Source organism: Homo sapiens, chromosome 10 (assembly GCF_000001405.40).
Source record: "Homo sapiens chromosome 10, GRCh38.p14 Primary Assembly".
NCBI classification, from domain to species: Eukaryota; Metazoa; Chordata; class Mammalia; order Primates; family Hominidae; genus Homo; species Homo sapiens.
In genome coordinates, this window is record NC_000010.11 from 69252151 (window position 1) to 69269160 (window position 17010).

General features: G+C 45.4%; 1 protein-coding gene across 4 annotated transcripts in view, besides 1 other annotated feature; it reads left to right on the forward strand.

The window, feature by feature from the left end:
• HKDC1 (hexokinase domain containing 1) overlaps positions 1-15402 on the forward strand; it is a 47221-nt gene extending 31819 nt beyond the window's left edge. For 2 of the 4 annotated variants that reach the window (NM_025130.4, XM_047425784.1), the window contains 6 exons: positions 4886-4981; positions 5177-5276; positions 6626-6809; positions 8989-9144; positions 13435-13668; positions 14460-15402. In NM_025130.4, coding sequence (NP_079406.4) covers positions 4886-4981; positions 5177-5276; positions 6626-6809; positions 8989-9144; positions 13435-13668; positions 14460-14607 — 918 coding nt within the window. In that variant the 3' untranslated portion in view covers positions 14608-15402. The other 2 variants (XR_007061989.1, XM_011540195.3) reach the window with 2 other exon arrangements.
• Positions 4400-4592: a silencer, noted in NCBI's record as "fragment chr10:71016306-71016498 (GRCh37/hg19 assembly coordinates)". NCBI's record gives its function as "represses an EF-1alpha promoter that drives an FKBP-Casp9 reporter gene in an ReSE screen in K562 erythroleukemia cells {active_cell/tissue: K562}" and the evidence as "EXISTENCE:reporter gene assay evidence [ECO:0000049][PMID:32094911]".

Genomic DNA, 17010 nt, shown 5'->3' on the forward strand with positions numbered 1-17010 from the left:
TTTAATAGATAATTCATAAATATGGAGACATTTATTACAAAATCTTTCCTGTAATTCTAGGGTAAAAACACCCAGGGTTGTCCAGGTGTGGTGGCTCATCTCTGTAATCCTAGCACTTTGGGAGGTCGACATGGAAGGATTGCTTGAGGCCAGGAGTTCAAGACCAGCCTGGGCAACATAGTGAGACCCTGTGTCTTAAAAAACAAACAAACAGGCCGGGAGCGGTGGCTCATGCCTATAATCCTAGCACTTTGGGAGGCCAAGACGGGTGGATCACGAGGTCAGGAGATGGAGATCATCCTGGCTAACATGGTGAAACCCCGTCTCTACTAAAAATACAAAAAAATTAGCCCGGCGTGGTGGCAGGTGCCTGTAGTCCCAGCACTTGGGAGGCTGAGGCAGGAGAATGGCGTGAACCCAGGAGGCGGAGCTTGCAGTGAGCTGAGATCGTGCCACTGCACTCCAGCCTGGTGACAGAGCGAGACTCTGTCTCAAAAAAAAAAAAAAAAAAAACTGTAGCCAGGCATGGTGGCACATGCCTGTGGTCCCAGCTACTGGAGAGTATGAGGTGGGAGGATCACTTGAGCCCAGGAGATTGAGGTTCCAGGGAGCTATGATCACACCACTGCACTCCAGTTTGGGCAACAGAGACTCCATCTCTATTAAAAACAAAAACAAAAACAAAAACACACACAACAAGCAAGCCAAGTACAGTGACTCATGTCTGTAATCCTAGCACCGTGGGAGGCCAAGATGGGAGGATCACTTGAGTCCAGGAGTTTGAGACCAGCCTGGACAATATAGCAAGACCCCATCTCTAAACGTGTGTGTGTGTGTGTGTGTGTGTGTGTGTGTGTGTGTGTGTTTCTGTGTGTAAAAACAAAAAATCACCCAGGCTTAACTTTATGTGTAATGAATAAAGATTTTTAATTGGGAAGCTAAGACACAGGAAGGTCAGTATTGTGTGTTTTTTGCATGGTTTTTTTGGTAAACTAGCTTGACCAAGAGGTAGAGCTTAGAAGTGGGGACTAGACACTGGGCTAAGCTCTTAGACTCCCCAGAGCTCCAGTGGGTCATGGGGCCTCGGCCTGGAGCTGACAGTGGGTGAGTGAGGCTGGGCCTTTGCATGAGGCTGGGGCAGAGCTGTCTGTTCTGCAGATGGAGGGAGACAGTTTGCAGCCTCTGCCAGTGCCCACACAGAAAGCCTCCGGGCAGGGACATGTCCTTCTGCAGGGGCTTGGGAGCAGGCCCAGATGAGGCCACACAGAGAGGCCCAGTGTCCTTCCTAAGGTCAGAAAACACAGTGTTCGAGAGCACAGGCTCTGGGGTTATGGGCTCCTGTTTTGCAAACCTGTCTCTACTGTTTCCCATATGAATAACCTTGAGCAGATTATTTAACTTCTCTGAGGCATGGTTTCCCCATTGGTGAAAATGGAGGAACATGGTGAGGACTAAATGAGCTCGTGTGTGTAAAATGCATAGCGTGGGTCTAGCACCTGGCAGGCACTCAAATCCTAGTATCATCCTTCACTTTCGAGGCAGCATAGGATTGAAATTCAGCCTGGAAAAGGCCAAGAGGAATCCAGTGCTGGTAATGGTGGTGAGGAAGGGGTGCACTGTCGCCAGGGCCTGACATCATAGCGGTGAATTCTCTGCAATCCCTGGCCTCAGCTTCACAGACAGACTCACCAGCTTGTGGAGAGGAGCTCTGTCTTTCTGACAGACTCTCATCAGCCAAGCTTCCGAGACTGGCATAAAGCAGAATACAGCTTCCTAAATTTATGGTAGAACTCTGGTCAGCTCAGCAGGTCAACCAGAGAGCTCAGGACAATAATAAGGGTAGCACCAAAGATGCACTAAGATTTTGTCCAGGGCCAGGAGCAGTGGCTCACTCCTGTCATCCCAGAACTTTGGGAGGCTGAGGCAGGCAGATCACTTGAGGTCAGGAGTTTGAGACCAGCCTGGCCAACATGGCGAAACCCCATCTCTACCAAAAATACAAAAATTAGCTGGGTATGGTGGCGGGTGCCTGCAATCTCAGCTATTTGGGTGGCTGAGGCAGGAGAATCGCTAGAACTCAGGAGGTGGAGGTTGCAGTGAGCTGAGATTACACCACTGCACTCCAGCCTGGGCGACAGAGAAGACTCAGTCTCAAAAAGAGAAAAAAAAAATTTTTTTAACCATTTTCTTATTGTGGTAAAATACACATAACATAAATTTCCCACTGTGACTATTTTTTAAATGCACACTTCTATGACATGAAATACATCCACATTTTTGTGCAGCCATCACCACCATCCATCTCTTAAACTTTTTCTTTTCCATCTGAATTTCTGTACTCATTGAGCGCTGATTCCCTAGTCCTCCTTCCCCCAGACCCTTGGCTTCTCTACTTATTGGCTGTGTGACCTTGGGCAAGTCATTTAATCTCCCTGTTCCTTGGTTTCCTCATCTGAAAATGATTACAAAAATAGAACTCATTTTATAGGTGTGTTTTGTGGTTTTATTTTCGTGCAATTATATTCAAGGAATATTTTGCTCAGTGAAGGAATGTGGCACATCCATATAAATGGCCTGGAAGGATCTGGAAGATACATTATTGAATTAGAAAAAAAAATTGCAATAGTTCACACACAGCGTGAATTTACTTACTTAAAAATATGTGTAATTTCACCCCTGAAATAAGAAATGGTGGGAAAAAGAAAAAAATACTAATAAATGGAGAGGAAAAGGTCTGGAAGGATTAATATCAGACTAATGGCAGAGGTTACCTCTCAGATTGGGAGGATGGGAGTTGAAGGGAACTCTATCCTTATCAGTAACATTTTAATTTTTTACACTACTAATGCATTCCTGCATTGCTGCTGCCATTAAAAATTAATACACCATCCGGGAGGGTGCCGTGTGCAGCTGTCTGCGGTCCTGACGGGGCACCAGGACACAGCTACTGCTCCTGACTCAGGACACTGGGCCTTTGGGCCTCTCTCCCAGCAGCTCTGAAGGTGTCGTGAAGACACAGTGAAGAAGGAGGGGAGACCCGTGGGCAGCTAAAAGTAAAGATACCCATGGTTGGGGAGAAAAAAGAGAGACGTCAAAAAATAGATTAGTTTTGTGTAATTGCAATCAGTAAGAGAGGTTTCCCAGTTGGGAGTGTCTCTCTAATGTTCTACACATACCAACCAGGAAAGGAGCCAGCCAGGGGTCCAGTTTCCCAAGAACTATGGAGGGAAGGAGGGAGACTGGGGCTTGTGGGCTAACAGCCTCAGGGTGAGGCGGCATCCAGCCACGGGGCTGACGGCACTGCCATCAGATTTTCTCACTGCCTTTCCTGTCCCAGAGCTTCTCCTGGCCTAGACACCCTAGCTCTGCCTGCCTTCACCCCCCTGGCTTTCTAGATGATGGAGTGCGAGGCTAGACTAACTCCTGCCTCAGGCTAACAATGTAACTTTGGGCTTCCTTTTGAGAATTAAAAATACTACTTTCGGGCTGGGCACATCGGCTCACCCCTGTAATCTCAGCAATTTGGGAGGCCGAGGAGGGTGGATCACTTGAGGTCAGGAGTTCAAGACCAGCCTGGCCAACATGATGAAACCTCGTCTCTACTAAAAATACAAAAATTAGCCAGGCGTGGTGGTGTGTGCCTGTAGTCCCAGCTACTCAGGAGGCTGAGGCACGAGAATCGCCTGAACCTGGGAGGCAGAGGTTGCGGTGAGTTGAGATCACACCATTACACTCCAGCCTAGGCAACAGAGTAAGAATCTGTGTCAAAAAAAAAAAAAACAAAAAAAACCTACTTTCTCAGTATTATAAAAATCATATATGTTAATTTTAATTTCAGAAAAATTAGAAAATATAGACAAACAAAAAGGAGAGAGGAAAAGTGATGCATAATTTTGCACCCAGAGAGAGCCACTGTTAACCCTTTTGGTGTATATATTATTCCAGTCCTTTCTCCAAGTGCGAGTGTATATGTGTGTATGAGTGTAATTTTAAAAATAAAAATAGAATAATTCACTATCTGTATTTGTTTGACGTGCTTTCAATTAACAGTGTGTGGAAAACACCTTTCTCTCACATCAAATGTTCTCTTACAGTGTAATTCTTTATGGGTGTATATCATGTCCCATATCGAGGTACAGGATGATAGATCCATACTGTTGGAGTTTTAGGATACCTCTAGTTTTTCACTGTGAAACATGCTTTGATAAACATTTGGTAGCTTTGCCTTTGATCACATTGTAATCTGTCCTTGACTAAGTTAGAAGTAGGATCATGGCCAGATGTGGTGACTCATGCCTGTAATTCCAGCACTTTTGGAGGCCAAGTCAGGCGGATCACCTGAGGCCAGAGGTTTGAGACCAGCCTGGCCAACATGGTGAAACCCCATCTCTACTAAAAAATACAAAAGTTAGCTGGGCGTGGTGGCACATGCCAGTAATCCCAGCTACTTGGGAGGCTGAGGCAGGAGAATTGCTTGAACCCGGGAAGTGGAGGTTGTAGTGAGCCGAGATCACGCCATTGCACTCCAGCCTGGGAGACGAGTGAAATTCTATCTCAAAAAAAAAAAGAAAGAAAGAAAAAAGAAGAAGTAGGATCACTATGATCCTAGGCCTTTATTCCGCGTAATCATGGCCAGGGAACATGATTTGACCCTTGAGGAGTATGAATTGCTGCAATGATTCCACTCAGTGATAGACCTTGTCTGAGTGTTGTGCTCTGTGATGCTGCTGTGCCCAGGGTTAGGGTTGTGGAGGTGGAGGCATAGTCAAAAGCACACGTACTTGACAAGCAGCCAGCTATAGTGCTTTGCATCTGTTGGATGTTGAGGTTGTGCAGTGGCCCTAGCAAACTATTGCTCAAATGAATTTCCCCTCCTTTCTTTCAGGGAACACTCATAGGGTGGACCAAAGGTTTCAAGGCCACTGACTGTGAAGGGGAGGACGTGGTGGACATGCTCAGGGAAGCCATCAAGAGGAGAAACGTAGGATGTGGTGTTGAGGCTCATGCCTGCTCTTGCTGCCTTCCCCAGGCCCCTCTGCTCTGCCATCCTCTGCCCAGTTCCTATGACTCTGGCCTCTGTCTGCCTTGGGATAACATGCCCCTCCTAAACCTGTTTGGCTTGCACATTCAACTCATAGTAAAGCTGGGTTTTTTTTGTTTTTGTTTTTGTTTTTAGGAGTTTGACCTGGACATTGTTGCAGTCGTGAATGATACAGTGGGGACCATGATGACCTGTGGCTATGAAGATCCTAATTGTGAGATTGGCCTGATTGCAGGTAGGTGGTCAGGCATGGCCCATTGGCCTAATCCCACTGTATCCATTGATGGTTTCCTTTTAACATAGTGAGAGGGTGGGCATTGTTCCATTATACAGAGGCTCTGCCCAAGGCAGAGATGAAGTTACAATTGGGATTCCAGGTCACCAAGTTCTTTCTGCATTAAGAGTCCTAAGCCAAGGTCATCCTTTCTATTGAGGAAGGATAATGACACAGGAAGAAGAGATTTTTAAATAAGGACCTTGGGGCCAATTGTCATGGGGGGGGGAAGGAGACTACAGTTGGATCATCTTGGCCTGGGGCTGAGGGAGCTATTATAGATTTTCACTCTGGCTCCAATGTGTGCCTCTTCTGTTCTCTGAATTCTTCTGGTTCTCAGGGTGCACAGGAAGGAGAGGAGCTGGAAAGAAACTTAGAAGAGGGGAAAGGAGTGGCCTGATACAGGCATTTTAGGGGTCTTTGGGAGAAGTCTGGCAGTGATTAAGGCCAAGGGTAGATTCTAGGGGGATGTTCTCTCTAAGAGGGGTAGAATGGGTAGGATTGGAACAGGTGGAGATGGGGACAAAAGGCATTCCAGGTGATAGGCACAGGCTAAGTAATGATAGAACCTAGAAAAGTTGTTCCATTTGATCATCTGGGCTTTCTGGATATAAGCAGCAGGTGGAACAAGGAGATGGGGATGTACTGAGTTATCTCCCATGCCAGGTAAGAGGTTTCCTCTCACTCTAACTCTTACCCACTTTGTGAGCTTGGGCAGGTGGCTTATTCTGTCTGACTTGAGTTTCTTCATCCGTGGGAGGGATTGGGCTAGATCTAGGAGAGCAAAGAGGTGAGGCCTGTTGATTGACTAAAATACTTGCCTGGACTGCTGGGCTGAGAATAGTTCTGAGGCCAAGTCATGGGCAAGGAAGAAGAGGGTGGCTCACAGATGCCAAGCATTTGCTTGTCCAAGACTAGATGATTCCTCATGGTCCCTTCCAGCTCTGACTGCTAATTTTACGACTGCTTGGAAGCTTTGTGTGCCTATGGCTTAACAAAGATAATGATGATGATGATGATGATGAAGTCAGCAGGTACCGTTTATTGAATGCTTACCATGTGAAGGAAACTTAAAGATATCACTTCATAACAAACCCATAGGCAGGTATTATTTCCTCCTCAGAAATGAAGAAACTGAGCCTCTGAAAGATGAGATGCTTGCCCAAGGTTAGCCAGCTATGACTGTAAAGCTGGAATCGCATCCAGTTGTATCTGACTCCAAGCTTAAATTCTTATTTGCTGCACTCTGCCACCTTTCTAAAACCTGGTGATGTCTTTGAAGACTAAGGTTCCTTCACAATTCCTTCTAGGAACAGGCAGCAACATGTGCTACATGGAGGACATGAGGAACATCGAGATGGTGGAGGGGGGTGAAGGGAAGATGTGCATCAATACAGAGTGGGGAGGATTTGGAGACAATGGCTGCATAGATGACATCTGGACCCGATACGACACGGAGGTGGATGAGGGGTCCTTGAATCCTGGCAAGCAGAGGTGAAGAGGGTGGATGTGTGCATTTATGTGGGTTGTGTAGTGAACAACACTACCAGACCTAAGGGGGTACCATAGACAGCATAGCTTTGTGTGCTTATTACAGCTGTCGAATGTCAGTGAAATATCCTATTGGAACAAAAGAAAAATATGATGACAAGTTTGCAACAGGTAAAGGGGAAAAGTCCCTTTTTCTAATTACCATAAGGCCCCATAAGGTCTAGTGGTGGTTCTGGAAGTGAGGCAGAGGCTGCCAGCATGTTCATTCACCAAGGGCATGGTAACTCAGTGAGCCTTCTTGAGATGGGCTTTTAATAAGTCTCTTTCAGAGGCCAACATCCTCAGGCCTTCAAGAGCTGGCTACCAGGTTGGTGACCTTTTCTGGGAGTGGGGAAGTGGCCACCTGTGATGGATGAGAGTGCTGGTTCTCGACCATGATGTCATGTCCCACCACGGGTCACAATCACTTGTGAGGTGTATTCCAATGACTAACCACATGAAAAATACTGAAAATAATGAATGGCCTAAAAAATAAATTAGAGTAGATTTCACTTGCATTATGATATTATGAGAGAAAGGGGTAGCAGAGCTAGAGCTGGCATGTGATATTAGTCCATTCTCCCGTTGCTGTAAAGAACTACCTGAGACTGGGTAATTTATGAAGAAAAGAGGTTTAATTGGCTCACAGTTCCACAGGCTGTGCAGGAAGCATGGCTGGGAGGCCTCAGGAAACTTACCATAATGGCAGAAGGTGAAGGGGAAGCAGGCACGTCTTACATGGCTGGAGAAGGAGGAAGAAAGAGTGAAGGGGGAGGCGTTACACACTATTAAAATAACCAGATCTTGTGAGAACCCACTCACTATCACCAGAACAACAGGGGGGAAATCCACCCCCATGATCCAGTCACCTCCCAGCAGGCCCCTCCTCCAATACTGGGGATTGTAATTCAACATGAGATTTTGGTGGGGACATAAATCCAAATCATATCACATGCTAAAATTTGATTATTAACCCAGGCCCATCCACTAGAAGAGGAGTTGGCACACTTATTCTGTAAAAGAACAGATAGTAAATGTTTTAGGTTTTGCAGGCCATATGGTCTTTATCAAAACTAAGCTCAGTGTCTTAATATAGAAAATAATGGGAAACATAGATTTATTGTTATGGGTGCTATCCAAGTTGAGAGCTTGAGCAGATGGGAAATGTGAGGGGATGCTTAGGCCATGGACACCTTGGGAGCTGTTGAACTGAGAATGTTGTCTAGGAAGAGGCTCAGACAAGACCAAGACTGGCCCTGGTGGTTTCTTTCCTCTTTGGCACCAATCTTGTAACTGGAAGGCAGGTGAGTTGTGGTAAGCCCAGCTGAAGCAAGGATTGCTCCAAAAAGAAGGGACCTTCCCTTTGAATCCCAAGTTGGGGCACCTGAGTGTCATGGCTCTTCCCAAGGGGCAGTTCATTCTAGTTAGCTTTGTGTCTGTAGCCACTGAAGGCTCACATTTTTGGATTGAGGTTTTAAGGGGGCAGCACCTTTGAACTTGCCTTGAAATCACCATTTTTTGTTCTGGTGTTAATTCCCTTAGGCTGATGAGGTCTTGAGCAGTTAAGAGAACCCAAGCCCAGCACATAAATGCTTCCCATTTGACTCTGCAAGCAGTGGCAGTCTGGCTCTGTGTCACTGTTGTTAATGATGATGTGTGTCACCATCACACACCCTGTGCAGAGTGCCTGGTCAGTACAAGGCCCCTTTTCTCTCTTGCTCTCTTGACCCTCATGGAGCTCACGGTCTGGTAGAAAGGAGGAAGGGAATTAATGCTTTTGAGCACCCCTGGTGCATGCAGACAGTTTCAATGTGTTAACTCACAGAGTAGAATTTGCAGAGTGGAACAGATTTGTAGCACAAAGCCAAGGAGAATTGGCTTTGGGGCCAAGACCAGGGACTAAATTTTGCTTAGTGCCCACTGTACCCAGATGCTTGCCTCCTAACAGTCTTGTAGGGGCGCTACTCTTCTCCCTGTTTTGTAGATGATAGCTTGCAGTGCTTGCTCACATCAAGCAGCTAGTATGTGGCAGAGCTAGGATCTGGATCTTGCTCCATGCGTAGCTCCAAAGCCTGGCCTTCTCACATCATGTGGTCTTCTGCATTGCAGGTCTGCCCCAACCTTATCCTTCTTCTCCAAACAGATACGAGAAAATGACCAGTGGGATGTACTTGGGGGAGATTGTGCGGCAGATCCTGATCGACCTGACCAAGCAGGGTCTCCTCTTCCGAGGGCAGATTTCAGAGCGTCTCCGGACCAGGGGCATCTTCGAAACCAAGTTCCTGTCCCAGATCGAAAGGTGACCTGTGATCAAGTTCATCATGAGGCTCTGACTGGCATATGCTGCCACCACGCTGGGGTTGGGCCAATTTGAGGTTTAAAAATAAAAACAGAAAGGCCCTGGCTGGGTAAGGGATTGCCTCCTGGGGCTGCTCTTCTCTTTCCAACTGATTCAGGATCGCTTTCAACAATAATAAACTCATGGCCAAACTGGGCTCATCTATAAAGTCCTGCTGTCCCCATCCTCAGGCTGGGCTAATTTGAAACAAACCCCACATCTTACATCAGTTCATCTATAAATATTTCATAATGTATTTCTGAAATATAAGGATTCTTAATAAAACATAACTACAGTACCATTATCACACTTAAAAAGCTAATGATAAACCTCAATCTCACAAAATATCCTGTTAGTGTTCTTATTTCCTGAATTGCCAAAAATTAATGGTTTTTACAGTTCTTTTGTTTGCATCAGTATCCAGACAAAGTTTATAAACTGCATTTGGTTGATATGCTTAAAGAATCTCTTTTAATCTATGGGTTTCCTCTCCCTCTCTTACTTTCCCTTGCAATGTATTTGTTGAAGAAACTGTTGTCTTATCTATGAGTTTCCTGTATTCTAGATTTTGTGGATTGCAGCATTTAGCATTTTCCTCTGTCTTCTTGTATTTCCCAAAAACTCATAGTTAGACCCAGATGCTTAATTAGATTCAGTAGTGAATTCTGGACAAGAATATTTTCTAGGTGGCATTGAGTTGTCTGTCTGTCTCTCTTTCTTTTAGGATGTTATCAGTCATTGATGCATATTGCCTGGATCTATTATTTCACTAGACATCGTAAATGGTGATGATTCCTGCAGTTATTAGCTGGAATACTTCTAGAAAGAGGAACTTTCCCCTATCAACTCTTTGGTGTAATTATCATTTTGAATGGCTGCATATTATACTATGTTACTGTACTATAATTTACTAAACTTTCCCTTTAATATAGGATGTCTAGTTTGTAATTTATAAATTCCTGTTATTCTGAGTAACACCATAGTTTTTCTTTTAGTACACATAGTCATTTGAATACAGTAAATCATTTCCTTAGTAGTAGAAACATTTGGTTAAAAGAGTATTTCACCATGGGCGCAGTGTTTTTTTTTTTAAAGTAGTTTCAATTTCCATCACCATCAGTTATGTACAAATGTGTCAGTTTCACTGCTTTTTGTGCTAGCACTGGATGTTATCTGATGCTTTGTGTTTGGATTTTCTCTCCATTTGTGTTCATTCATTTAATTCTCTTGGTCTTTATGGTCAGATGCCCACAAGTGAAAAATCACTTTTCAGCGGGGAAAAAAGAAACACATTATACATGAAAGTGGTTTACTTAATGAGGCAAATCAGATGGGCTGTTTAAGGGGAGTTCTTATTGTTTAAGGAGAGGATGGTGGAATCAGTAACAGCAGCAGCGATTATGTATTTTTGGGGTGTAAATTAGCAAGTGTTCAGCATCCTTCTCCTGTCTAGTCTTCAACCCATCCAATCTGAACAGATGGGTTAAAAATCATCACGCTTGGTGACCAAAGGGATCCTGTTTTGCTGTGTAAAACAGCTTCTCCCTCATAAGCAATAGACCGACAAGTTTACTTATCTTTGCCTTGCTTTTTTTTTTTTCCGTAATAAAAGAAAAGTTGTTCCTAGACAAGCACAAGGTGGTAACACTCTTATGCCACCAGAAAGATTTGCTTCTGCTGCACAAGAGGTGTCTGTTTTGGATGTTTTGATTTCTACAGGTTTCTGTTGTTGTTTTGTTTTTGTTTTCTGAGACAGGGTCTCACTCTGTTGCCTGGGCTGGAGTGCTGTGTTGCAATCACAGCTCAGTGCATCCTCAACCTCCCGGGTTCAAGTGATCCTCCCACCTCAGCTGCCACCACTGCTCCTCTCCCCTGCTCCCATTCCCTGTCAAGTAGCTGGGACTACAGGCACACACCACCACACCTAGCTAATTTTTGTATTTTTTATAGAGATGGAGTTTCACCATGTCGCCCAGGTTGATCTTGAATTCCTGGGCTCAAGCCATCCATCTGCCTAGAACTCCCAAAGTGGTAGGATTACAGGCATGAGCCACCGCGCCTGGCCAGGTTTTGTTTTTTAAAAGCTTCATGGAATAAAAAAAAAATCATATCCACCTAGTGCCAGTGGGAATTGGTAGGTGCTGTGCTGACTGCAGCCCATTTCAAAGCAGTTTGTCAAATGGATGGGACAGTGTTCTCCGGGGGAAGTGCCCTGAATTTACAGTCTTAGAGCTTGAGTTTTAAGATTTATCTCCACTACTTAACCTGTTTATGCTGCGTGACCTGGGGCAGGTTGTTTCACCTCTTTGAACCTCAGTTTCCTGCTTCATAACAGAAATAATTGCCCTGTTGCTTAACCCCCAGGATTGCTCTGAGGATCAGGAAGGGAATGTACTTGAACTAGGTAAGCTGTGAAAGGCTGGGCCCAGGAAGGAATTGCAGGCTTTCTCTTTAGACACACCAGTTAAAAAACCTCTTTTTCTTACTATACAAATGTTATTCATTCATTTTAGAGAATCTAAAAAATACAGATAAACAAAGGAAGAAAAATAAGAATTAAGCTACGTGTGGTGGCTCATGCCTGTAATCCCAGGACTTTGGGAGGCCAAGGCAGGCAGATCACCTGAGGTCAGGTAGCCAACATGGTGAAACTCTGTCTCTACTAAAAATACAAATATTAGCTGGGCATGGTGGTGGGCCTATAATCCCAGCTACTTGGGAGGCTGAGGCAGGAGAATCGCTTGAACCCAGGAAGCGGGTGAGCCGACATCATTGCACTCCAACCTGGGCAACAAGAGTGAAACTCCGCCTCAAAAAGAAGAGAATTACCTGTAATCCTCCCAATGTCTGAATAGATTTCCTTCTGTGTGTGTGTGTGTGTGTGTGTGTGTGTGTGTGTGTGTGTGTGTCTTTTTTTAATCTGGGCAAGGGCAAACATTAAAACAAAAAGCCAGCATCATACAGTGCATAGTATTTTATAATCTATTTTTTCACTATGTCATGAAGATTTTCCATGGTGTGAAATATTCTCACGCAAACTCATCTTTTTTTTTTTTTTGAGACAAGATCTTACGCTATTACCCAGGCTGGAGTACAGTGGTATGATCATGGCTCACTGCAACCTCAAACTCCTGAGCTCAAGCAATCCTCATGCCTCAGCCTCCAAATAGGGACTATAGGCATACACAATCATGTCTGGCTCATTTAAAATTTTTTAGAGATGGGGTCTTGTTATGTAGCCCAGGCTGGTCTCAAATTCCTGGCCTAAAGTGATTCTCCTGCCTCAGCCTCTTAAAGTGCTGGGATTACAGGTGTAAGCCACTGTGCTGGCCACAAACTCATCTTTAAGATCTATGAAGAATTCTATTGTTTGGCTACACCGCCATTTACCTGCTGAATCCCCTGTATGGTCATATAGGTTGTTTCTCAATTGTCTTTCTTGATAACACTCTTCTTCTCTAAGTATTACCTGAGACAGTCAAGGATACAACTTCACATTGCTTGGTGTGGGAGTCAGGGCTCCGTTTAAGTACCATTAGTTCACTGTGAGATGACCAGGGTCTAGACTTGAAGCCAGCCTGCCCCTATGATGGGTGTTTCTCTGCATGTGTTTACAGTCCTATCAGGTTCCCCTTCTCTAAGGTTCTGATTGTATTTTGTATATTCATTTATTCACTTGCTCATTGAATATACCCTGCTGGCTACTACTGAAGATATAGTCTTACTGTCAAAGAGCAGAGAAATGAGAAAAAGGGAAGAAAGTGCAGAGAATCAGAAAAAGTTAAATAGAAGGAAAGTTGGCCTCCAATTGAAGGGGGCCAGAGTGTGGGAGCTGGCACGATTTGTGGGAAAGTGCGAGAGGTGGTGTGAAAAGGCTTGAATTTGAGCCCCTGCTCTCTAACGAGAGGGCACAGCTCTAGCAGGCTGAGCCACAGCCTCCTCTTCTGAAAAATGGGTACCTGGTGTGTTGGTTGCTGCAGCTCATATGGCTTCTAGTGAGATCACAGATATGAACATGCTGAACACCAGAGGCATTCACACTTTATTTTTTAAAGTTGATGGAACTTCCAGGGGTGGTGGACCTTCTTGAGTCTCGGCTTCTAAGGCATTCTGCTCCAGCCTAGCCATTGCCTGGGTCAATTTCTCCTCCCTCCTGTAAGGGCATCTAAGAATGGGGAGGCTGTGGGTCACACTGGGCACATCCCGGGGTCCTGGGAAGCAGGTCCTGACTCCCTGCTCTATTGCCTGCAGCGATCGGCTGGCCCTTCTCCAGGTCAGGAGGATTCTGCAGCAGCTGGGCCTGGACAGCACGTGTGAGGACAGCATCGTGGTGAAGGAGGTGTGCGGAGCCGTGTCCCGGCGGGCGGCCCAGCTCTGCGGTGCTGGCCTGGCCGCTATAGTGGAAAAAAGGAGAGAAGACCAGGGGCTAGAGCACCTGAGGATCACTGTGGGTGTGGACGGCACCCTGTACAAGCTGCACCCTCAGTGAGTGCCCACAAGAGGCGTGGCGGGTGGGGCTGGGGAGGGCTGGCGGCCAAGTGTGGACTTGGCATAGCCTCCTGAACTGCGGCATGGGAAGATGCATCCCCGTCCTTTTATGGGAAAGGAGTGCTGTGTGGTCAAGTCACCTATTCAATCTGACAGACAAGGTGTGAGCCCTGGTGCCTCTGCTACCTGGTAATACGATGTGGGAATGTTAGCCGGCCTCTCTAAACCCCAGGTTCCTCATCCACAAAAGGCCAGCACTAATAATCCCTACCACATAGGGCTAAATGTGTGAGGTTGAAATGAGTTAGCACATGTAAAGTGCTTCACACGGGGCTCAAGAAATGTAAGTTGGCTGAGTGCAGTGGCTCATGCCTGTAATGGCAGACGGGAGGATCACTTGAGCCCAGGAGTTTGAGACCAGCCTGGGCAACACAGGGAGACTCCATTTCCACAAACATAAATAAATAAAATACAAAATGAACAAAAATTACAAATATTAGCTGGGCGTGATAGTGCATACCTGTGGTCCCAGCTACATGGGAGGCTGAGCTGGGGGGCTTGAGCCTGGGAACTCGAGGCTGCAGTGGGCTGTGATTGCACAACTGCAGTCTACACCCTGGGCAACAGAGTGAGACCATGTCTAAAAAAAAAAAAAAATTAGAAGAAGCTGTTTAGAGCCTTGAAAAGCAAACCAAAGGGAAGAAGCTAAAGAAATTAGATTATGATCATTTATAAATGTTCTGATTCTACATGGAAGGGCTGATGATGTTTCTTTCTCTTTTTCATAGCTTTTCTAGAATATTGCAGGAAACTGTGAAGGAACTAGCCCCTCGATGTGATGTGACATTCATGCTGTCAGAAGATGGCAGTGGAAAAGGGGCAGCACTGATCACTGCTGTGGCCAAGAGGTTACAGCAGGCACAGAAGGAGAACTAGGAACCCCTGGGATTGGACCTGATGCATCTTGGATACTGAACAGCTTTTCCTCTGGCAGATCAGTTGGTCAGAGACCAATGGGCACCCTCCTGGCTGACCTCACCTTCTGGATGGCCGAAAGAGAACCCCAGGTTCTCGGGTACTCTTAGTATCTTGTACTGGATTTGCAGTGACATTACATGACATCTCTATTTGGTATATTTGGGCCAAAATGGGCCAACTTATGAAATCAAAGTGTCTGTCCTGAGAGATCCCCTTTCAACACATTGTTCAGGTGAGGCTTGAGCTGTCAATTCTCTATGGCTTTCAGTCTTGTGGCTGCGGGACTTGGAAATATATAGAATCTGCCCATGTGGCTGGCAGGCTGTTTCCCCATTGGGATGCTTAAGCCATCTCTTATAGGGGATTGGACCCTGTACTTGTGGATGAACATTGGAGAGCAAGAGGAACTCACGTTATGAACTAGGGGGATCTCATCTAACTTGTCCTTAACTTGCCATGTTGACTTCAAACCTATTAAGAGAACAAAGACTTTGAAGTATCCAGCCCCAGGGTGCAGAGAGGTTGATTGCCAGGGAGCACTGCAGGAATCATTGCATGCTTAAAGCGAGTTATGTCAGCACCCTGTAGGATTTTGTTCCTTATTAAGTGTGTGCCATGTGGTGGGGTGCTGTCTGGGGCATCTGTTTTTCATTTTGCCTGTGGTTTGTGTTGCAGGTGTTGATAGTTGTTTTAAGGATTGTTAGGTATAGGAAATCCAGTAAATTAATAAAAAAATTTTGATTTTCCAATAAACTTTGCATGAAGTGGTGATATTTCTTCTGGGAGGCTCACTTGGTAATACCATGCTTTGTTGATGGAATAAGGGATGCAGAGTCAGAAGGAGCTTGAGCATTTTTCTCGAGTCCAAACTTCCTACCAACAGGGGTAATATATGGAATATCTTCTACAATATCCTTAACAGATTATCCAGATGTCTTTAGAATACTTCCAGTAACTGAGCATTTCCCACATGATCCTACAGCTCTTGCTTTTGAACGGCTGGAGTGGACTGGAAGTCCTTCTGACTTCTGAGCTCGGTTCCTCCCATACACCCCACTGATCTCCATTCTACCCTGCAGAACTATGTGTAATAGGCCTGTCCCTGACCATTTCTCCAGTGGACTTCCTCTCTCTCTCCTCTCTTCCCCACTTTACCTGAACTGCCTGTGCCTTTCTGTTCTGCCACATAGTTATCTGTATGAGTTTCACATCTGGCCAGATAGATTGTAAACTCTTTGTCAAACACATTCTTGTATTGCTCTAGTGAACCTAGCACTGTGCCATTCCTATCAAATACTTACTTGTGGGAGGCATGATTGAAGAAATAGAACTTTTCAAGAAATTTTCTTCAGATAAAGTATAGACTGGGTATGGTGGCTCACACCTGTAATCTCAGCACTTTGGGAGGCCAAGTCTGGAAGATTGCTTGAGGCCAGGAGTTCAAGATCAGCTTGGGCAACATATCAAGACCCCCATCTGTACAGAAAAATTTTTAAAATTAGTTGAATGTGGTGGTGCACACCTGCAGTCCCAGCCACTCAGGAGGCTGAGGTGCGGGGTATCTCTCGAGTCTAGGTTTGAGGTTACAATGAGCTATGACTGCACCACTGCACTGCAGCCTGGGCAACGGAAAGAGACCCTGCTTCTTAAAAAAAAAAAGAGAGAGAGAAAGAGAAAGAAATGAAAGAAAGAAAGAAAGAAAAAGAAAGAAAGAGAAAGAAAGAAAAGGAAGGAAGGAAGGAAAGAGACAACTATTGTCATGGGAAACAAACTGAAAAGAATAATCCACAGTGATTTTATTTGTATTTATGTGCTTAATTACATACTTAAGTATGACAACTCCACAGAGTGCTCTTGCTGTCTCTTCAAAAGATTATGGCTTTGGTCAGGCGTGGTGGCTCATGCCTGTAATCCTAGCACTTTGGGTGGCTGAAGCAGGCAGATCACTTGAGTTCAGGAGTTTGAGACCAGCCTGGCCAGCATGGTGAAACCCCGTCTCTACTAAACATACAAAAAAAAAAAAAAATAGCCGGGCGTGGTGGTGTATCCTTGTGATCCCAGCTACTTGGGAGGCTGAGTCAGGAGAATCACTTGAACCTGGGGGGTGGAGGTTGCAGTGAGCCGAGATTGAGCAACTGCACTCCAGTCTGGGTGACAGAGCGAGACTCTGTCTCAAAAAAAAAAAAAGTTTTTGGATTCCAGCTCTAAGCGTCACCATTTGCTGAAGCGGGATGTCCAGATGGAGTGAAGGGGGCTGAGTCTAAAGACGGAGAGAGAGAGAGGCCAGCTAGGGCTGGGGATAATGAGGGAGCTGAGGGTTCCCCAGGACATATTTTTTACACTTTCTTTTTTGTTGTTTTT